Here is a 23487-nt window from a genome sequence, read left to right as displayed (position 1 = left end):
CAATGGTTTTGCCCTAATAAGACAAGAGTTCCTTTTCCGAAGACCTTTAAACTGCACAGATTCTCATTTTCTCTTCTGAAAGCTTTTCCTTTTGTCTTTGGGACTCTCCTGTCAGTAACTGGGGAGAAAAACATTATGTTCTCCATACCCTTAAAGGATGTCAGTGTTTCAAGAATTATTTTTCTTTTCTAAAAATTATAATACAATATGAATACATTTTAGTAGCATTAATTTATAATGCAAAACACTTCACCACCCTTCCTCCCATTTTCATTTTTCATTGTAAGCAGAACTATACAAGACATTATAGAGGATACTAAAATAAATGAAAATCATAAACCATGCCGTCAAGAATCTTGCAGTCTAATAAAGTTGTAAGTAAAGATGAATACAATGTGGAATAGTAAATAACTTTGAGATAAAGAAACTAAAGTAAATCATAAGACTGATGCAACTTGACACAGAATTTTGATTATTTTTGATGTCTCCAGTTTTGATAGTCAAAGGAGACACTATCAATAGATATTGCAAGGGCAACAGGCATAAACTAATACTATCTTGGACAAATTGAGATATAGAGCCACCCTACTTTTAAGTTTCTTTACTTTTGCTTTTACTATTTATTATGGACATTTTCATACTGCCTGTAAAGACTGAGATAACTATTTAAGTACCCATCTTCCAACTTCAACTATTATCACCACGTGGCCAATGTTGTCTCCTCTATACCCCCTAAATCCCCACCCTCATTTACTAAAAGCAAATCCAAAGCATTTTCTTGATTCATCAACCAGTTTTTCACCACTCCATTCTTTTTCTCTCCTGATTTCCTTACTTATCACCTTTCCAACCCATCTTTTTATTTTTACTTCCAACATTGCTCTGCCAGGACACAGATCCGTAGGGTCAGCCCTGCATCCTGAGCAGCTTAGAGGGAGAAGCCAGACCAGCAGTGCCTCACACCTTGTCCTCTTCTGCTCTGGACAGATGGCTCCATAACGACAGCTTCATAATGGCAGTGGATGGGACCCTAGTGTACATCAGGGTCACTCTTCTGCTGCTCTGGCTTGGGGTATTTTTGTCTATTTCTGGCTACTGTCAGGCTGGGCCCTCCCAGCATTTCACTTCCCTGGAAGTGGTGATCCCCTTGAAGGTGATCAGCAGGGGCAGAAGTGCAAAGGCTCCTGGATGGCTCTCCTATAGTCTGCGGTTTGGGGACCAGAAACATGTTGTTCATATGAGGGTTAAGAAGCTCTTGGTTTCTAGACACCTCCCAGTGTTCACCTACACAGATGAGCGTGCACTCCTGGAGGATCAGCTCTTCATCCCAGATGACTGTTACTATCATGGTTACGTGGAGGGTGCCCCTGAGTCTCTGGTTGTGTTCAGTGCTTGTTGTGGGGGCTTTTGAGGAGTATTAAAAATAAACGGCCTCACTCATGAAATTGAACCCATCAGGCACTCTGCCACATTTGAACACCTGGTTTACAAAGTAAACAGTAATGAGACACAATTCCCAGCTATGAGATGTAGCTTAACAGAGAAGGAAGTAGCACGCCAACAGTTGGAATTTGAAGAGGCTGAGAACTCAGCTCTGGAACCAAAATTTGCTGGTGACTGGTGGACTCATGCATGGTTTCTGGAGCTCGTTGTTGTGGTGAACCATGATTTCTTCATTTACTCTCAAAGCAACATCTCAAAGGTGCAAGAGGATGTATTTCTTGTTGTCAACATAGTGGATTCCATGTATCAGCAGTTAGGTACTTACATAATTTTGATTGGAATTGAAATTTGGAATCAAGGAAATGTTTTCCCAATGACAAGCATAGAACAGATCCTAAATGATTTCTCTCAACGGAAACAAATCAGTCGTTCCCAGCTACAACATGGTGCTGCACATACGTTCATAAAAAATTCACTTATAAGTATACTTGGCCTAGCCTACATTGCAGGAATATGTCGTCCACCTATTGATTGTGGAGTTGATAATTTTCAAGGAGATACCTGGTCTCTTTTTGCCAACACTGTGGCCCATGAGTTAGGTCATACGTTGGGTATGCAGCATGATGAAGAATTCTGTTTTTGTGGGGAAAGAGGTTGCATCATGAATACTTTTAGAGTGCCAGCAGAGAAATTCACCAATTGCAGTTACGCTGATTTTATGAAGACCACCTTAAACCAGGGATCATGTCTGCAAAATCCTCCAAGATTGGGGGAAATCTTTATGCTAAAGCGCTGTGGGAATGGTGTGGTTGAAAGAGAAGAGCAGTGTGACTGTGGATCCGTACAGCAGTGTGAACAAGATGCCTGTTGTCCATTGAACTGCACTCTAAGGCCTGGGGCTCCCTGTGCTTTTGGGCTTTGTTGCAAAGACTGCAAATTCATGCCATCAGGGGAACTCTGTAGACAAGAGGTCAATGAATGTGACCTTCCAGAATGGTGCAATGGAACATCCCTTCAGTGTCCAGAAGATAGATATGTGCAGGACGGGATCCCCTGTAGTGACAGTTCCTACTGCTATCAAAAGAGGTGTAATAACCATGACCAGCATTGCAGGGAGATTTTTGGTAAAGATGCAAAAAGTGCATCTCAGAATTGCTATAAAGAAATCAACTCTCAGGGAAACCGTTTTGGTCACTGTGGTATAAATGGCACAACATACCTAAAATGTCATATCTCTGATGTCTTTTGTGGGAGAGTTCAATGTGAGAATGTGAGAGACATTCCTCTTCTCCAAGATCATTTTACTTTGCAGCACACTCATATCAATGGTGTCACCTGCTGGGGTATTGACTATCATTTAAGGATGCACATATCTGACATTGGTGCAGTGAAAGATGGTACTGTGTGTGGCCCAGGAAAGATCTGCATCCACAAGAAGTGTCAGTCTGTCTGTCTTGTCACACATCTGCCTTCCTGAGACCTGCAATATGAAGGAGATCTGCAATAACAAACATCACTGCCACTGTGGCTAGGGGTGGTCCCCGCCCTACTGCCAGCACAGAGGCTATGGGGGCAGTGTTGACAGTGGCCCAGCATCTGCAAAGAGAAGAGTTTTTTTTTTTGCCATTGATTGTGATTCCTTCTTGTCTGTTGTGATTTTCCTCTTTACTGTTGGGCTTCTTATGTATCTACGACAATGTTCTGGTCCCAAAGAAACTAAGGCTCATTCATCAGGTTAAGAAAATGTCTCTAATTTAATATTCCATGAATTATTACACTTTAGTCTCTTTGCAGCAGAAATGTTAGTACATCCCTGAAACTGAGCACATTTTTGACCATTTCCAGAAAGCTGCAAAGATCTTCCCTTACGTCAGTACCACAAACATTGTCATTAAGTGCAGGTTATTCTTAACATGTTTCTATCTATTGTTCATTGTTTTAAGCAGCAACTGAAGCTACATCTTTCCCTCCCTTTAGTCCTTGTTGTTTCTCATGCTTAGAGATGACTTATGGGAAAGGCATGAGATGTTTCTGCATCAGCGTGTCCAGGGGTGAAGCTTACCTCTCTACTGACATTTATCAATGTGGGAAAATTACTTACATATTCTGATGTTTTGCTTCAAAATCTAAAAGGGGGTAGGGGTCATAATAATATTTGTCCCACCCAAGTCTTTGAGTTTATTTGGTTACCAAAAGAGAGAAATAACTGAATTTTTTAAAGTATAAAAAATTGTTGTTTGTCTGATAAAAGCTCTTGACTTGCTCCCTGTGTGTTTCCTAGCTCTTTGTTTTAATCTGGCAGTTTGGATATCCTTTTGGAGCATTTGCTTTGCATACCAAAATATAATCTCCATGAGGGTGGGGTAGTTTTATCTGTTTTGCTCACCATTATGTCCTCAATAGCCTGAACAGTGCACAGTGCTTACTACACAGTAAATACTTAAATGAAGCAATGAATTTGAATGGAGTATTAAATACATGAATTAATTATGAAAAGCAAAAATAATATTTTGATACCTTGATGATGTCATTCTGATCCTCTCTTTTAACTACTGGAGCTCTTGCTCAAAATTAAACTTTGAATATTTAAAATGTGTTTATTTAAAATGCTGCTGTTTGAACCTGGTGCAATTTGCTGGTCTTTTGTCCTCCACTGTATCTTCTCTTCAGTCTATTCTCAGTGTTTTTGGAAAGCCTGTCTCTTGAAAACAGAGTGAATCAGATACCCTTTTTATTGATCAGTTAACTTCTGAATGGCACTCTGTAAATAGAGTCAAAAAACTTTTTGGATATCATTTTTTATTACACTTGCCAACTTTGTGTCTTCTACCTGTTTTATGTTTACAATATATTTGGCTGTGTCATTCTCTGCATATTTGTACATGAAATCCCCATTCCCAAAATGCTGTTTACCACCCTGCCCCTACTCCCTTGCCCTGGAAAACTCCTGTTTTCTCTCAATAGAGGTTAAATGTTATATCTTCGTAGAAACATTCCTTATGAAATGGTAAGTGTTCCACTTGTGTGCCCCATTACTTTGTGGTCACCCCTTTATGATTTGATGTCCTCTAGGAATAGAGATGGAGAGGGTCCAACAATGTGCTAGCAAAAAGAAGCAGAGGACAGCTACTGGAGCCATACAAGGAGGGAGGAGTGAATCAAGAATACAATCTGGTTAAATCAGAGAAAGCGCCACATGTTGTAAGTGTACACATCCGTATGGAGAAAAAAGATAATTGCTCCAGTTTATTGATTCTTTTTTGAAAGGTTTATTCCCACAGAAACACAAACTGCTATCAGAGAACACTATAAACATCTCTATGCAAATAAACTAGAAAATCTAGAAGAAATGGATAAATTCCTGGCCATATACACCCTCCCAAGTCTAAATGAGGAAGAAGTTGAATCCTTGAATAGACCAATAACAAGTTCTGTAATTGAGGCAGTAATTAATAGCCTACCAACCAAAAAAAGTCCAGGACCAGATGGATTCACAGCCTAATTCTACCAGAGGTACAAGGAGGAGCAGGCACTATTCCTTCTGGAAACTATTCCAAGCAATAGAAAAAGAGGGACTCCTCCCTAAGTCATTTTGTGAGGCCAGCATCATCCTGATACCAAAACCTGGCAGAGACACAACAAAAAAGGAAAATTTCAGGCCAATATCCCTGATGAACATCGATGCAAAAATCCTCAATAAAATACTGGCAAATCGAATCCAGCAGCACATCAAAAAGCTTATCCACCATGATCAAGTTGGCTTCATACCTGGGATGCAAGCCTGGTTCAACATATGCAAATCAATAAACATAATCCATCACATAAACAGAACCAATGACAAAAATCACATGATTATCTCAATAGATGCAGAAAAGGCCTTTGACAAAATTCAACACCCTTCATGCTAAAAACTCTCAATAAACTAGGTATCAATGGAATGTATCTCAAATTAATAAGAGGTATTTATGGCAAACCCATAGCCAATATCATACTGAATGGGCAAAAGCTGGAAGCATTCTCTTTGGAAACCGGCACAAGACAAGGATGCCCTCTCTCACCACTCCTATTCAACATAGTATAGGAAGTTCTGGCCAAGGCAATCAGGCAAGAGAAAAAAATAAGGGGTATTCAAATAGGAAGAGAGGAAGTCAAATTTTCTCTGTCTGCCGATGACATGACTGTATATTAAGAAACCCCATCATCTCAGCCCAAAATCTCCTTAAGCTGATAAGCAACTTCAGCGAAGTCTCAGGATACAAAATCAATGTGCAAAAATCACAAGCATTCCTATACACCAATAACAGACAAGCAGAGAGCCAAGTCGTGAGTGAACTGCCATTCACAATTGCTACTAAGATAATAAAATACCTAGCAATACAACTTAAAAGGGATGTGAAGGACCTCCTTAAGGAGAACTACAAATCACTCCTCAAGGAAAGAAGAGAGGACACAAACAAATAGAAAAACATTCCATGCTTATGGATAGGAAGAATAAATATCATGAAGATGGCCATACTGCCCAAAGTAATTTATAGATTCAATGCCATCCCCATCAAGCTACCACTGACTTTCTTCACAGAAGTGGAGAAAACTACTTTAAACTTCGCATGGAACCAAAAAAGAGCCCGCATAGACAATCCTGAGCAAAAAGAACAAAGCTGGAGGCATCATGCTACCTCACTTCAAAGTATACTACAAGGCTACAGTAACCAAAACAGCATGGTACTGGTACAAAAACAGATATATAGACCAATGGAACAGAAGAGAGGCCTCAGAAATAGCACCACACATCTACAACCATCTGATCTTCGACAAATCTGACAAAAACAAGCAATGGGGAAACGATTCCTCATTTAATAAATGGTGTTGGGAAAACTGGCTAGCCATCTGCAGAAAACTGAAACTAGACCCCTTCCTTACACCTTACACAAAAATCAACTCAAGATGGATTAAAGACTTAAATGTAAGACCTAAAACCATAAAAATCCTAGAAAAAAACCTAGGCCATATCATTCAGGACATAGGCAAGGGCAAACACTTCATGTCTAAAACACCAAAAGCAATGGCAACAAAAGCCAAAATTGGCAAATGGGATCTAATTAAACTAAAGAGCTTCTGCACAGCAAAAGAAACTGTCATCAGAGTGAACAGGCAACCTACAGAAGGAGTGAAAATTTTTGCAATCTATCCATCTGACAAAGGGCTAATATCCAGAATCTACAAATAACTTAAACAAATTTACACACAAAAAAATCAAAAAGTGGGCAAAGTATATGAACAGACAGTTCTCAAAAGAAGACATTTATGCAGCCAACAAACTTATGAAAAAATTGTCATCATCAGTGGTCATTAGAGAAATGGCAATCAAAACCACAATGAGATACCATCTCACGCCAGTTAGAATGGTGATCATTAAAAAGTTAGGAAACAACAGATGCTGGAGAGGATGTGGAGAAACAGGAATGCTTTTACACTGTTGGTGGGAGTGTAAATTAGTTCAACCATTGTGGAAGACAGTGTGGTGATTCCTCAAGGATCTAGAGCTAGAAATACTATTTGACCCAGCGATCCCATTACAGGGTATACACCCAAAGGATTATAAATCATTCTAGTATAAAGGCACATGCATACGTATGTTTTTTGTGGCACTATTCACAAAAGCAAAGACTTGGAACCAACCCAAATGTCCATCAATGATAGAGTGCATAAAGAAAATGTGGCACATATACACCATGGAATACTATGCAGCCATAAAAAAGGATGAGTACATGTCCTTTGCAGGGACATGGATGAAGCTGGAAACCATCATTTTCAGCAAACTAACACAGGAACAGAAAACAAAATACTGCATGTTCTCACTCACAAGTGGGAGTTGAACAACGAGAACACCTGGACACAGGGAGGGGAACATCACATACTGGGTCTGTTGGGTGATGGAGGGCTAGGGGAAGGATTTCATTGCGAGAAATACCTAATGTAGGTGACAGGTTGATGGGTGCAGCAAACTACTATGGCACGTGTATACCAATGTAAGAAAACTGCACATTCTGCACATGTACCCCCAGAACTTAAAGTATATATAAAAGAAACCATTGAAGTTGATTATAGTAATATTTGTCAGCCTATTGTTCTGTTATATTTGCTGAGTTTTGTATTTCTGCTTGAGATTACATTGAAATAATCCATTTTTTCTGGGATTATGTTGGTTTCAGCTTTTATGCTTAATTGTGGAATTTATTTTGCTATAAGGAATGAGATAGGTATCTAATTGTATACTTTTCCAAATGGGTAGCCTGTTGTCCTGTTACACTTCATACAATAAATCCTTTATCAGTGCTTTGCTGGCAAATTGGTATCCTGTATTGTATGTTAAAGTTAATTTGTTAGAGTCACCTTATTTTACTTGTAAATTTTTACAGGAAGCAGTGCATTTTGCAATATTCTTATTTTAAGAAAAGATGTATAGTTATTTTATATTTGTTGAGTTAATTAGAGCTATATCAGTTAATTATATCAGGATTGGTGGGTAGAATTAACCTTTTTATAAGAAGCATAGAGTCTTACCTCCTGTTTTAATTTGGATTGCCCAAAAAGCAGACCCAGAGACAAGGATTTAGGTGGAGTTAGTTTTCTGGGGAAGCACAAAACAGGGCAGACTAATGAACAAGTTTTCTCTGTGTACTACTTGAGTCATCCCTGTAGGCTTTCTGAGAAGTCATGTGAAACACACCTTTGATTAATATTCCATGGTTCAGGAGAAAGCTGTAAGGAAAAGAATATCTGAGATATAAGCACTTGAAGTGGTAAACTCTCAGAGCATGGAGATTGTCTACTGTGGCTGCAAGTGAACTCAAGTGGGACAAGAAGATGGAGGGTGGGCTTTCAGCATCTACTGTACCCAGGTTCCTTAGAAAACATATGCTGAAGCAAGGAATAAATCTAAATGGTTTATTTGGAAAATACAATCCTAGGGAAATGAGAGTAAAATTAAAAGTATTTGGGACTGGAAAGTCTGGTACAGAAGATGCTGGTGGTACGCACCTGTATCCTCTTAGACCGAACCTTGAGGTTTTCTGTAGTACAGGAGATCTACACACTAAAGGCTTTCTACTTTATGGGGGAGGGGGTGTGCTCAGTGCATTCATGGAGCAGGCTGGAAACAGGAAGGAGTTAATGCATCTGAAAACAACTCTGGACCAATGAGAGATGTGTAAATGAACATGGTAGTTTCCCCAGTCCTCATGGGACTTCTCTGCGGTGTTGGGGCCCAAGACAGGGTGTACATTGTTAGTATAACAGGAACTGGGTCTCTCTACCTTCCCTCAAAAAAACCCCAAACAAACAAACAAACAAACCCAAAACCCTTTTCTTTTCTTCACAAAGTCTTCTTTGTTCTTTGAGCACCTATTGAAAAAGCTGACTGGAGACTGTCTCAGTCTATTCAATTCTCCCTCTGATCCTCCACTACAGACTTTCTTTCAAACTGTGTCTTATTGTCATTAACCCTTACTGTTTTCTGAACAGTTTGGGCACAGAACTGACATCCCTTTGCTCCAGTCTTCCAAACCCTGGCCACGTGAACTAAGCCATCTGATTGCTGGGTATATCAGCATCTAGTTTGTGCAAAATTATCTGAACTTATTTTCGTTCCTGCTGATGCAAGTGCCTGGTGGGTCAAATCCGGAGGCGGATGCATGACAAGGTATGGCTTCCATGAAAAGAAAACAACGCCACACTTCTTCTCCTTTTGGTGAGTTGGACACCTGTATAGAAGGTGGACTGACAGGGACACATATGGATACACAGATGCCAATATGACAGAAGACAAGGCACAACAAAGCCCAATCTGTTGGGTCACAAATTTCACTTTGACATTATTTGTGAACCACACTGGTCTTTTTATCTTGTGTGGTGACAAGGTCTATGAAGGGTTCCCACTTACATGGTCAGAATGATGGGGACTCAGATACCTAACGCCTTTGTCACCAGGTACTCCTCCTTCAATGCCAGCCTAATTATAAACTTGGGCTCCTTTGTTCATAAAGTAGTGCCACACAAGTGTGCTACATGAGATTTTATAGAAAATCCACTTATATGTCACAATTCTAAGTTCCTTTCCATGCTGAGATCCATTTTCCCAGGCTTTGGAACTTATGAGAGGGAAAGGGCAATTCTCAATGTTTCCATAGTAATAGAACAGGAGTCAGTATTACTATGCAAGCACTGAGAAGACTCCAATCAGAAGTGAACAGTTTAGCCTCTGTTGTACTTCAGAATCACCATGTCCTGGATACAATGACAGCCCAAGAAGGAGGAGCTTGAGCAATCATTGGTAAGGAACGCTGCTTACATGTAAACCACTAGGGACAAATAGAATCTAATCTGAACTTTTTGCAACACAAGATAAACACTGTTCATCATATAAATGAGGCTAAACCATTCAATTGGACTGACCCATTGCCAGGGATAGGAGACTGGTTGAATGCAATATGGGTAAATGTGTTTAGATTTGTTCTTTTCTGCTTATTAATTCCCCTTCTAATTTGTGTTCTTCTCTCCCTTTGCAGATCCCCTGCCACTCAGCTACTTATACAACTCTTCTCTCCACAAATACTAATTCAGCTTTTAATTTGAAACTGTTAGGGAAGTTTCAGACAGGGAAAATAAAGGAGTTAAAAGTATGCCTGCAGCTCTAAAATATGTCAAATTAGTGTATTGATTACTTCAAGCTCAAAGTACTTTGGAAACTGTAGTTCCAGAAGTGACTATCTGACCTGTCTTTTCCTGCATATAGCAAGCCATAAAACTTCCATGGAGAAAGATGCCTTCCCTGTGCCGGGACAAGAAAATAACCCTATCCCCAGGATTGGAAATTGTTGCTTCAGTAGACCTGTACAAATAAACTAAAGTAACTCTTATCTCCCAACTAGCTTTATAACTCCTCCTTGACACTCCCCACCAGTAGATCTCCTAGTGACTTCCCTGGAATTCACTGTCCCTAGCTTAGATCCTTTTGTGTCACGGTCCCAATCCCTGTTGGACTGAACAAAGGGGGATGAACGCGGGAATAAAGACAAAGACAAAAGAGTATTTTTGGTTGAAGGGGTCAGGGGGCTCCTTACTTCTAGTGAACAAGGGCTTTGAGTTTCTAGCTCCCTTCATATTTATTGAGAAAAGAAGATAGGGAGAAGGAGGTGGTTGTCAGTAGGCTGCTTGACTCGGCGCAGGCCTGCATGACTGCATTCTCTGAACAGTAGTCTCCAGATGTTCCAGCAGATAACCTCAAGGAGCATGGCGCCAGGGAGTGATTGCACCCAGCATATCTTCTGGCAGCTGTGAGTCTGCCCACATCCTGCATTCATGATAAACAGTTTGCTGTTTGATCATATAGCCTCCAGTGGAATGCTGAGTTGGTTACTACCCAAAGGCTTTTGGCTCTCTACACTTTTGTCTTGTCATTTCTTCACAGATTTATTGTTCTTTTTCTAAAAGTATAAAAACTTTCTGCTTTGACCACTATTTTGGGTCTTCACACTCTTGAGAGGATATCTGTGCATATGAGTTCTCCAGGGGGCACACAAACAGGTGGCAATGGTGGCAGAGATACAGGTACATTGGGCTCAATGGCATGGACTCCCACTTGCCCAGGGAGTTAATCAAGACACTTCTGCCATGAATGTCCAACTTGCCAGTGACACAGATCAAGGCTGAGTTTCTGGGAAGGTACAATTCTTCAAGGAAACCAAACAGTGAATTAGTGAGACATTGACTACTTTGTGCCCCTTTTATCCTGGGAGGGCCAGTGATTAGTTCACACAAGAAAATATACATATTCTAGTTATGATATTGTCTATAGAGCTTAAGCCAGCACCACTACTGGGGGCATATGGATTGTAAGATCTTTAAGGATGGAACCTCATGCAACTTGGCGTAAGAATAGAGGATTCATTCACTCTTTAGTGTATGGGTGCAGGAATGGTACGTAGCAATGAATTATATTGTTTGTATCATATATCAAATATTTAGTAGCATCTATTCTCCAAAAGTGCTTAGAATGGCCTGCAGAAGGCAGAGCCAGAGTGCCAGCTCAGAAACAATATTCTGAAAGAATAGAATTGAGTGCCAGCCTTCACAATGCATTGTGTATATTAAGTCAGAGATTCCTACATGGTGTTGTATATGCAATAGAAAGAATATATGGGGCCCAGAACCAAGGAAGAGAAGCTGGGTGGCCTCACTTATCATCACACTTGATGATTCACTGATCTGCTTCCGTCTCTGCAACTATCTGTTCTCTAGGCAGGTCTTGGTCCACAAAGAGAATGCATCTTTGCCAGGGGACCCAGCATAAGTTCCATAGACCTGCAAGCTGCCCTCAGGGCGTCTGGGACATCTTCTGTTCAAGGACTAGCAGGTAAAAAGAAAAGTCATTTTGGCAGGAGTAATTGACCCTGGATAGCAGGGGGAGGTAAGGCTGCTGAGCCCCAGTAGAGGCATGGAGGATTATATGGAGAAACTAGGGGATTCACTTGGGAGCCACTTGGAACCACCCAACGCAATGGTAACTGTGAATGGATATGTGCAGTAGTGTTGACCTCCTGAGATGAAGGTGCAAAAGATTTAAAACAAACATTACAGCAAGTGCTCTGGGTTCTCCCTGACTCCCACTTTTGTCCTTTTTCTTTTTCCTTCTTCTCTTTATTTTTTTAAAGTTAAAACAAAATTAATGTTATAAAGATGGGGTCTTGCTATGTTGCCCAAGCTGGTCTCAAAGCCCTGGGCTCAAGCATTCCTCCCACCTTGGCCTCCCAAAGTGCTAGGATTACAGGCACAAACAACCATGCCCAGTGCCCTCCCTGCAACCCTTTAAAAAAAAAAAAAAACTATATACCTCTCACAGCCCATAGCTATCCAAAAACCCATGAGGTTTGTAAAGACAGTTCTCAGAATTATTGTTCTGTTGGTTATTAGACTCCAAAGAAGGGACAAGGAAATACGAATAGTCTCCATCTATGAGTTTTGGTTAAGGTGAACACTGATGCTAAAATTGAAAGGACAAGGACAGCTACTCGAAACATTCCCATCTTGTAAAAACCTTGACCCTGCTTCACTTGTGATATCACCTGGTCTTCAGGTACTCCCTCATGTAGTTCAATTGAATCAAGCCTTTAACCTCTGTCTGAGTCACTTAAAAAAACTATATATATATTTAATAATTTTGTGTTGTTACTTGGAATAGTTTTGGACAAAATGCCAACACTGCCCAGTTTTGTGTCAAAGACAGCATTATCAAAGCACCCTAATTTCCTTGGGTGAAGAGGTAAGCCCTGCTCTTGGTCTCTGATTCTTTTCTTTTTTTCCCTCATTTAAATTTTTATTCTTGATTTCCAACTTTTATTTTAAGGTCAGCGGTACATGTGCAGGATAGGACGTGCAGGTTCATTACATAGGTAAACACTGTCACGGTGGTTTGCTGCACAGATCATCCCATCATCTGACTTTCTTTCAGAGCATGGTGGTTGCATGCTTTGACTTTTTTCTAGGTACCCTTTTGTCAGACTGAAGTCAGCATTTTCCTTCCGTCTTTCAGAGTTCTTTAGATGTGCAGAGAGTTTAGGCAACTTTCCTAAGGTGGGACAAGACTCTTCTATTATCTCAAATTTCTTCTACTACGGAAACTCCTATTTAACCCAAACACCTGGCCAGATCTGTGTAGACATATGGTCTGGTGCAATGTTGATCGATCTGTTAAATTCTTAAGTGGCGTGATTTCATCAGGTATAAATTTGAAATGCACTGCCTTTGGTTACTTGGGACATGTCAAACTTGTGCATTTTTGTGTCACCTTAGAAGAACAGGGTAGCAGAATAGCTGACACTCCATGAATAACTTACTTTAATTGGTATGAAGAAACCAAGAAAAGAAAGATTTTGAAGTCTCTAGTCTTGAGTCCTGTTTTCAACAACTTCCATGGTCTTCCTTTCCCAAAGGACTCCTCCCTTCTGTCTACCTCAGTTTATGCCTCTGATTCTCACCTCCCTTCTATCCTGATCCCTATCTTCTTTTTGTTTGTTTGTTTGCAAACCAACACTGTTTCATTGTCAACACAACCAGCCCACTCTGCCCCGAGAAGGCTATGGACAATGGGTGTCTGGGGTCTGTGGGAGAGAGAGGTCAGCACTCTGAAAACTGCTGGGGCTACCACAGGGGCTGGGTGGGTCAGAGGTAGGGCCTGAGGGGCCAGCCACGGAGGAGCTGGGCCTAGGCTCCCCCTGGCTCACCTGCAGCAGGCCAGTGAGAGCGATCAGCTCCGGCCCGCTGAGCCAGGCAGTGGAGGGGCCCAGGGAGGGTGACAGGCGGGGGAGAACCTTGGCAGACATGATGGGGGGCGGCGGCAGCAGTTTCAGGGAGCCCATCATCTGCTGGGGGGCCTTGGACAGGTACAGGGGGACACGCTGCCCCCCGGGGCAGCAGAGGGTCCGAGAGGAAGACGTCTTCACAGCACATCACCGGGAACCCTGCATCCGGGGCCGCCTGCTGTCCATTCCAATGCCCTGTGGCAGGGGCCACGGGCCTGAGACCCCTGCCCGAGGCTGCCTCGTACAGCGGCCAGAACGAGGGGTGACACACCGTCTGGCCTGAGAACGAGGCTCCTGAGCTACAGTTGGCCCCCCAAACCAGCCGAGGTCCTGCTTTGGCTTCGTAGTTGGGGTCCCAGGGAGCTAGTGGAGTCATCCTCGAGGGGGCCACCTCCCAGGCCACCTGGGGGGAACGAGGATCTGGGGTTCCGGGGGGCTGCTCAGTGGCCGGGCCTGGCGGGTGGTGGGGCAGCAGCAGCTGCTCTCTCCGGGTCCAGGAAGGGCTGTCCCATGGGGGTGTCCCCAGCTCCCTGGGGGCGTCCGCTCCGGAGCTCCAGGGCTCGCCTCCTGGTCCTTGCCCGCCGCAAGGCCTGGTCCCTCGGGCGCCTCCTCCGGGCCCGCGCCCCACCGCGGCGGCGACCAGGGAACATTCCGCGTTCCCGAGCGCAGGACCATACCGCCGTGTACCCGCCGCCCGGCGCGGCCCGCTCAGCCTCCCTCCGAGGTGCCGCACGAACCTGCCCTCCTGGCGAACCCACCCCAGAGGCCTCGCGGCAACCCCTGATCCCTATCTTCTTAAAGTCCCCCTTGCTTCTTTTCTTCCACATCTCCAGCTCCCTCTTACTATTTGACCTGGAACATCACCTCTTGTTGCATATGACAAGCCCTAAAAACAAGAGAAAAGTTTTTAAAACACAAACACACACACACACGCACACACACACCGTCACTCTGTCACCCAGGCTGGTGTGCAGTGGTACAGTCATGACTTACTGTAACCTCCAGCTCCTGGTCTCAAGTGATCCTCCTGCCTCAGCCTCCCAAGTAGCTGGATCTATAGGGACACACTATATTACACCAGGCTGATTTTTAAATTTTTTTAGAGATGGGGTCTTGCTATCCTGCTCAGATTGGTCTTGAACTCCTGGCCTCAATTGAGCTTCCTGCCTCAGCCTCCTGAATAGCTAGGACTACAGGCACGTGCCACCATGCCTAGCTAATTTCTTTATATTTTGTGTTGATAGATTCTCACTATGTTGCCTAGGTTGGTCTCAAACTGGTACTCCCTCCTCAGACTCTGGAATAGCTAGGACTACAGGTATGTGCCACCATGCCTGAATAATTTTCTTATTTTTTAATATTTTATAGAGACATGGTCTCACAATGCTGCCCAGGTTGGTCTCAAACTCCTGGCCTCGAGGAATCCTCCCACCTCAGGCCCCCAAATCGCTGGGATTATTGGCGTGAGTCACTATGCCCAACCTTAGTGCACTATTTCTGAAGTGATTCTTCCAGTTTTCCTTTAGGTAAGATTTTGTGTCTGTACATTTATCAGACTGTCAGTTCCATCCTGTAATTTATAGATAGGCTGGGCTTAGCCAATTATTGGAGATTTTAAATATGAGATCCCATACCTTTATATCCAGAGAAACTGAGAAGTGATTTAACAGTGAATAACGATCCTTTCTGTAACAGTAAAGACAAAAAGCCAGAGACATTACATATGGGATTCCCCAGGCTTAGCATAATGCAAAAATCATGAGAATAATGAAAATGATAGCAGACAGCGTGTACCAAGTGCCCAGAACTTTGGGAGGCCAAGGTGGATGAATCACTTGAGGCCAGGAGTTTGAGACCAGCCTGGCCAAGATGGTGAAACCCTGTCTCTACTACAAATACAAAAAATTAATCTGGCGTGGTGACGCGTGCCTGTAATCCCAGATACTCAGGAAGTTTAGGTGGGAGAATTGCTTGAATCCGGGATGCAGAGGTCGCAGTGAGCCGAGATTGTGCCACTGCATTCCAGCCTGGCAGCCTATGCACCAGAGTGAGACCTTGCCTCAAAAAAAAAAAAAAAGGAAATTAAGAGTGTGAACAAATGTATATTAGTGTACACGGGATTTGCCACAGGGGTATCTAGAAAACATTAGCCCCAAATCTTAAATGAGTACAGGTCCTCTTGTTAGTGAATCTAAGAGTTTCTGCCGTCATCTATAGAAGTATTGAGAATACGACCACACATGAAATGTGAAGTAAATTTAAACACACAGACCCTTTTTAAATTGCCAAGTGATTTTACTTCAAGATGACATCAGAATTGCTAAAAGGTGATGTAACCGTCAGAGTGACTATTGATTATAACTCCCAGTAAGTGTCAACGTGATTTTCTCCATTGTGTGGGCTTCCATTAGTATTTACTCATTAGGTTCAGTAGTTTTCATTATTTTCTCTTCCATAAATTCTATTGCTTGTGAAAAGCCACCAAAGAGAAGTGAAACCAGAAAAAGGATGCAACGAGTAAATATTAAAAGTAGTGCTCAGTTTATATTCGCAAGTGTGCTGGCTGTAATACGATATTGTTTGTCAGGTGGAGGGCCACTATCTATACTACCTCCTTTTCCTCTCAGTTCACATGTTGGTGGTTGCCACCCATGCAGACAGTGACAATGTTTTTTGTTGTTACATACTCCTTTGTAATTGCATGTTTTAAGATCACACTCAAAATGCAGGTCTTGATAAGAAGTACAATTGTGTTTAAGACAGTAGCTCCCTGGGCCACAGGTTGCACCATCCACTACCAGCCCCATTTCTGGCAAGTCTGTCCCCTGGTGTGCTTCATAGCCAAAGCATTTTTCTTCTTTTATGTCGTGTACTAATATATTACGAAATGTAGTGTGCTCAGCTCAACCGGGAATGTGGCTGACACCGCTACAGTGCAACATTCCACAGAAAACATCATCTTCTTCACATGGAAAAGGTCTACTTCCCCCTCGCCGTAGAATAACCCCACAGTTTCCAAATCAGTTACCAATCCTATTCAATTTTTGATAGCACGCTGGGGAACCGTCTTTCACTTGGTAGCCAAAAAGGGCTTGACACTGCATATCACGGTCACTGCAGTTTCCTCTTATACAAACAGATACTGCTGAACATGGGGTTCCATCCTGGATGTAGATGTCATTTGGACACTCTTCCTTTTTCCCATCACAGTATTTTGGTAGATCACATATACCACCCAAGTCTCTGCAAACCACTCCAGGGGCAGCATATTTACACTTATGGCAGCAAAGTCCTGTATTGCAAACACTGCCAAGAGAAAGGGTACAAGAGGTCTCACAACATCTATCACTGGCACAATCTTTAAGGGAGCCACAGTCACATTCTTCCCTCTGATTTTTGATATTGTCTCCACAACGAGGAGCTACGTATGGAAAATTAGGTATGGAAAATTTGGAGCACTCAAACAAGGATCCCATTGATTAAACTTGCGTTGAATTATCTCATAAGAACAATTGCTCATCATATCATTAAGATCAGGAACAGGAGCCATGAGATAGTTGGTTCGTCGAAAACAATAACAACCAACAGAATCATGTCTCAAGCCCATGTTATGACCTAGTGCATGTGCTGTAACACATGCCCCCCTAAATAGGTGATACCTCATTATATACACAAACATTGCTCCCCAGTTGGGGTTGCATATTCCGTCAAAGCTGGCATAACACTCACTGTTTCCAAGTCAATTTGATGTAAAAACAACTGAGGTATCATGTGGAATTTGTGAAAACCATTCATAATATTTCCACGAACCAAACTCTCCTACAACCAGGTCGGCAGGCATGTTATACATTACTATATCCATATCATTCCATATGCACAAAACACGTACATAGACATTTAAATAAACTGGTTTGAAAATGGTATGTATGATGCTGTTAATAATCACTACATTCTCTATTATGTGTGACATATTAGGGTTCTGCATGAATAATCCATTAGTAACTGTGTAGTGAAGTTTCAAGTTTTTTCTATGATGCCTCCACAAATAAACGTGGCCTTCTCTGGGAGTTTCAGCCAGTTTTACCTTTTCAGATTCTTGATCTATCTCTTCCCCTTCAGTCTTACATCTACTGACCTCTCCTGGTCTTTCTTCTGACACAAGCAGAGATACTACATACTCAAATTTGGAAAAAGCCTCCAGGGGTTTGATTTCATAAGTCAGGTCATCCACCTGCAGCATGCCACGCAGACCTCCACGGCAGGTGTCCAATGTGGCCACAGACCCAGGAACCCCTTCCAGGTAGCAATCGTAGTAACAGTCTCGTGGGACAAAAGGGTAGTTCTCCTGCATGGCCCCTTGGTCATTATTAGTAAAAACAGGTAAATGTCTGGGCATCATGTTCTTCTTGAGCTTCATGTGAATCACGTGTCTTCGGCCCCGGAAATGCATGCTGTAAGAGAGCTGGTCTGGCATCTCAACTCCACCCCTCCTGTGGGGCACTTTCCTGGGGATCACAATTTCTGAGGAAGTGAAGCGCCATCCTGGTGGGTCATGAAAACAATAGACCTGGGACAAGAGTGCCCAGAGGACAGGCAGCCAGAGAGCACCTGTCAAGGGGTCCTGGACCCAGGCAGGTCCCATGAATAAGGGAGACTCTGACCAAAGAAAATGCAGTCAAATGGGAGGCAGAAAGAGGATTCCTCAGTCTTCAGCCTTCTCCTCAGGGCAGTTATGAGGAAAGCAGAGTGAGTCTGCAGGCTTGGCACCCCCTGATAGGCGAGGGGTAAGGGTTAGGCTATTACATAACAATGGTGTGCTCATCAGGGGAGGCTGTTTTCAGTGAGCTGGAGACCTAGGCCAGCAGGTCAAAGGAAGAGGAAAAAAAATGGCAGGAATTGAGAACAGCAGTATATAACTGAGCTGAAATGTCTCTTGTCCTCTAAGGGAAGTCATAAGTGGGGTTTGATGAGTAAGTGGGTTTAATGCAAGTTTAGGACACTTAAGGACATTTTTCTCAAGCCTAAATGAGGGAAGGACTCAACATGTAATTAAAAGAGGGAAGCGTATACAACGATAAGGAAAGTGGAAACTTCTCCTTAAAAGAATTTTGAGTGCTGCAATATACATATGTGTGCATGTGCCTTTATAGTATAATGATTTATAATCCTTTGGGTATATACCCAGTAATGGGATTGCTGGGTCAAATGGTATTTCTAGCTCTAGATCCTTGAGGAATTGCCACACTGTCTTCCACAATGGTTGAACTAATTTACACTCCCACCAACAATGTAAAAGCATACCAATTTCTCCGCATCCTTTCCAGCATCTGTTGTTTCCAGACTTTTTAATGATCACCATTCTAACTGGCGTGAGATGGTATCTCGTTGTGGTTTTGATTTGCATTTCTCTAATGACCAGTGATGATGAGCATTTTTTCATGTTTGTTGGTCGCATAAATGTCTTCTTTAGAGAAGTGTCTGTTCATATCCTTTGTCCTATTTTTGATGGGGTTATTTGTTTTTTCCTTGTAAATTTGTTTAAGTTCCTTGTAGATTCTGGATATTAGACCTTTGTCAGATAGATAGATTGCAAAAATTTTCTCTCACTCTGTAGGATGCCTGTTTTCTCTAATGATAGTTTCTTTTGCTGAGCAGAAGCTCTTTAGTTTAGTTAGATCCCATTTGTCAATTTTGGCTTTTGTTGCCATTGCTTTTGCTGATAAACAACTTCAGCAAAGTCTCAGGATACAAAATCAATGTGCAAAAATCACAAGCATTCGAATACACCAATAATAGACAAGCATAGAGCCAAATCATGAGTGAATTCCCATTCACAATGGCTACAGAGAAAATAAAATACCTAGGAACACAGCTTACAAGAGACCTGAAGATCTCTTAGAGGAGAACTACAAATCACTGCTCAAGGAAACAAGAGAGGACACAAACAAATGAAGAAAACATTCCATCCTCATGGATAGGAAGAATCAGTATTGTGAAAATGGCCATACTTCCCAAAGCAATTTAGACATTCAATGCTATTCCTATCAAACTACCATTAGCTTTCTTCACTGGAGAAAGCTAATTTAAATTTCATATGGAACCAAAAAAGAGCCCGTATAGTCAAGACAATCCTAATCAAAAAGAACAAAGCTGCAGACATGACGCTACCTGACTTCAAACTACACTACAAGGCTACAGTAACGAAAACAGCATAGTACTGGCACCAAAACAGATATATAGACCAATGGAACAGAACAGAGGCCTCAGAAATAACACCACACATCTACAACCATCTGATCTTTGACAAACGTGACAAAAACAAGCAATGGGGAAAGGATTCCCTATTTAATAAATGGTGCTGGGAAAACCGGTTAGCCGTGACAGTAGATTTCTCATCAGAAAACAAGGAAGTGAGAAGGAAGTGGCAAAACATTTTTCAAGTACTGAAAGAAAAGAGCTATCAACCATGAATTTTATATCATGTGAAACTGTCCTTCAGGAATGAAGAGGAAATAAAGACATTCTGAAAGGAAGGAGAACTACAAGAGTTTGCAGCTAGCAGATCTACTGTTAAAGATTGGCCAAAGGACACTGTGGAAAGTAGTTTGGAGATTTCTCAAAGAATTAGAAAGAGAACTTCCATTCAACTGAGCAATCCCATTACTTGGTGTATACCAAAGAAAAATAAATTGTTCTACCAAAAAGACACACGTATCTGTATGTTCATTGCAGCACTATTCACAATAGCAAAGACATAGAACCAACATAGGTGCCCAACAATGGTGGATTCGATAAACAAAATGTGGTACATCCACACTATGGAATACTATAGAGCCATACAAAGAATGAAATCATGCCTTTGCGGTAACTTAGATGCAGCTTGACACGATTCGTATCTGTGTCCCCATCCAAATCTCATGTTGAATTGTAATCCCCGGTGTTGGAGGTGGGGCATGGTGAGAGGTGATTGAATCATGGGGATAGATCCTTCATGAATGGTTTAGCATCATCTTCTCAGGTAATGGTGAGTGAGTTCTCATGAGATCTGTTTGTTTAAAAGTGTATAGCACCTCCCCCTTCACTCTCTTTGTCCTTCTCCAGCCATATGAAAAGTGATGGCTTCCCCTTCACCTTCTGCCATGATTGTAAGTTTCCTGAGCTCTCACCTGAAGCCAAGCGGATGACAGCATCTTGCTTCCTGTATTGCCTGCAGAACTGAGTCAATTAACTTCTTTTCTTTATAAATTACCCAGTCTCAGGTATTTCTTTATAGCAGTGCGCGAATGAACAAATACACACCTGAAGGTAACAGAAAACCAAAAACCAAATACAAATAAGAATTAGCTATAACAAATAGAAATAGATAATGAAATGGAAGACTTAAGAATTAACAATAATTACCTTAAATGTAAATGATCTTAATATACCAATCTAAAGACAGAGAGAAGGAGAGTGGATAAATAAAAATGACACAACACTATGCTGTGTATAAAAAATTCACTTCAAATCTAATTACATAGGCTGAATGTAAAAGAACTGAAAAAGATTTACCATGCAAACATTGATTTAAAAAAACCAGGAGTGGCTACATACTTTCACACACAAATGGGTACAAATATAACTGAGGAAATCTGAGTAAGCCCAGTGAATTTTATTGATGTTAACAACCCAGTTATGTTATTGTACTATAGTTTAATAACTATATTTTTCTTCCATTGGGAGAAACTAGGTAAAAGCTGTATGAGATCTCTCTATTATTTTTATAACCACCTATAATTATCTCAATAAAATTTTCAATTGAAAATTTGAATGAGTAGTTTAAAATCTTCCTAAAAAGAAAACAAGCTTTGATGGTTTTATAAGCTAATTCTACCTAACAGTCAAGAAATAAATAACTCCAATGTTGTACCATTGAACATTCTTCAATTCATTTTAAGAGATGGTATAATCATGACACTTAAACCTAAGAAAGAGGGCACAAGAAAGAAAATTATAGCTTGCCCTCAATAATGACCATGGATTTAAAAATCCTACACAAATATTAAGTCAGATACAGCAATGTATAAAAAAGACAGTACATTACAACCAAGTTGAATTTATTTTAGTAATGCAATATTGTTTCAACATTTGAAAATCAATATAATTCAGCATATTAAAGATTAAGGAAGAAAGACTATATAATCAGATCCAATAATGCAATTACTTGGCTAAAATCTAACATCTATTCATAATTTAAATAAAAAACAACCATTAGCAAACTAAAATGAACCTACAACAAACATCATACTTATCTGTGCAACAATGAAGCATTCTCTTTAAGATTTATTACAAGACACAGATTATGTATTATCACTTTCATTAATCATTGTTCTGGAGTTCCAAGCCAGCACAGTAGGCAAGAAAAGAAATAAATGTATAAGGATTGAAAAAAAAAAGTAAAACTGTCATAATTTACAAAGGTTGTGATTTTCTTTGTAGAAAATCCAAAATAATCCACAGATAAATTACTCAATTAAGAGCAATTAGAATGTTTATTACATAAAATACAGTTACATAAAATAATTATGTTTTATTATGGCCACAAGAAACTAAAAATAATATTTACAGGATCCTCAATATGTAAGTACCTAGAAAAAGCTAGCAAAGGTACACAAGACCTTTACTAAGGAAATTATAACTCTTTCACAAATTAGTTACCAAAACAAGAGATACAGCATATTCACGGATTGGAAGACAATATTATAAAGATGTCAGTTCTCTGTTAAATTGATGTATTTATTTACTGCAATTCCAGTGAAAACTTTAAAAAGTATTTTGCTGATATCGAAATGGGAAAGTTCACTTGTGCCCCTAGAAGGGTGTGCGATGGGGGTGTGGCTTGCTTCTTAGGTGCCTGGATGCTCAAACCTCTAGCAGGATCATGCAGATGGGTAGGTTGTGGGGCTCTGAACCCAAGGCAGCGTCTAGGGGTGAATGTTTACAGCTGAAGCCCTAGTGGGCGTGTGTTACAGTATGCTCTTTCAGTTTAGCTGTCCGTAGGTGGCTTGTGTTAGCTCAATTAGACCCCTTCCCTTATCTGTCCCTTAAGGACAGGGGGCTTTCTGTATCCCAGGGTTTCCTGCCTTGGTGTACAGGAAGAATTAGATTACACATGGGTTTGAAAAATGAGTGCAAGGTTTTATTGAGTGGAAGTAGCTCTCAGCAGATGGGGGAGCCAGAAGGGAGATGGAGTGGGAAAGTGGTTTTCCCCTGGAGTTGGGTGCTCAGCAGCCGGGCTCTCCTCCGACGCCCCAGCCGAACTCCACGTTGTTCCACCAGTCTCCTGCCAGCATCTGTCGGTGTGCTCTTATGCCCATGTGTTCCTCTCAACGTCCAGCTGCTTGTGTCTCTGCCCACTAGGGTCTTGGGGTTTTTATAGGCACAGGATGGGGGTGTGGCAGGCCAGGTGGTCTTGGGAAATGCAACATTTGGACATGAAAACAGAAATGTCTGTCCTCACCTAGGTCTGTGACCGCAAGCCTGAGGTGGAGCCCTAGCCAGGGACCATGCCCTTCCCTTCCTAGCATTTCCCTGCGCCCCCGTACCAATATTACGGGAAGAATACTGTGGAAGAATAAAGTGCCAAAAACAGCCAAGACACTCTTGAGAAAAAACTTCAAGATTGGAGGAATACCTATCAGTTACA

General features: G+C 41.5%; 1 long non-coding RNA gene and 3 pseudogenes across 4 annotated transcripts in view; 2 read left to right on the top strand and 2 right to left on the bottom strand.

The window, feature by feature from the left end:
- The first annotated feature begins 871 nt into the window (after positions 1-871).
- ADAM21P1 (ADAM metallopeptidase domain 21 pseudogene 1) lies at positions 872-2920 on the top strand (annotated as a pseudogene). The gene has a single exon (NR_003951.1). The product of NR_003951.1 is annotated as an ADAM metallopeptidase domain 21 pseudogene 1 (transcript).
- Positions 2921-8974: 6054 nt separating this feature from the next.
- Positions 8975-10361, top strand: LOC124903338 (uncharacterized). Of its 2 annotated transcripts, none has more exons than XR_007064235.1 (2): positions 8975-9145; positions 10011-10361. It is a non-coding gene; the product is annotated as an uncharacterized LOC124903338 (long non-coding RNA). The 2 variants fall into 2 exon arrangements; XR_007064234.1 differs by having other exon boundaries at positions 8975-9193.
- Positions 10362-13034: 2673 nt separating this feature from the next.
- On the bottom strand, positions 13035-14369 carry LOC101928010 (histone deacetylase complex subunit SAP25-like; annotated as a pseudogene).
- Positions 14370-16089: 1720 nt separating this feature from the next.
- Positions 16090-23487, bottom strand: part of LOC646548 (ADAM metallopeptidase domain 20 pseudogene) — a 45476-nt pseudogene continuing 38078 nt past the window's right edge. The window contains exons 3-4 of the transcript NR_135825.1: positions 20969-21101; positions 16090-18655 (exon numbers count right to left, since the gene is read on the bottom strand). The product of NR_135825.1 is annotated as an ADAM metallopeptidase domain 20 pseudogene (transcript). The remainder of the gene's footprint in view (positions 18656-20968; positions 21102-23487) is intronic.

This window comes from Homo sapiens, chromosome 14, assembly GCF_000001405.40.
Source record: "Homo sapiens chromosome 14, GRCh38.p14 Primary Assembly".
NCBI lineage: Eukaryota > Metazoa > Chordata > Mammalia > Primates > Hominidae > Homo > Homo sapiens.
This window is presented reverse-complemented; position numbering and strand designations above follow the sequence as displayed.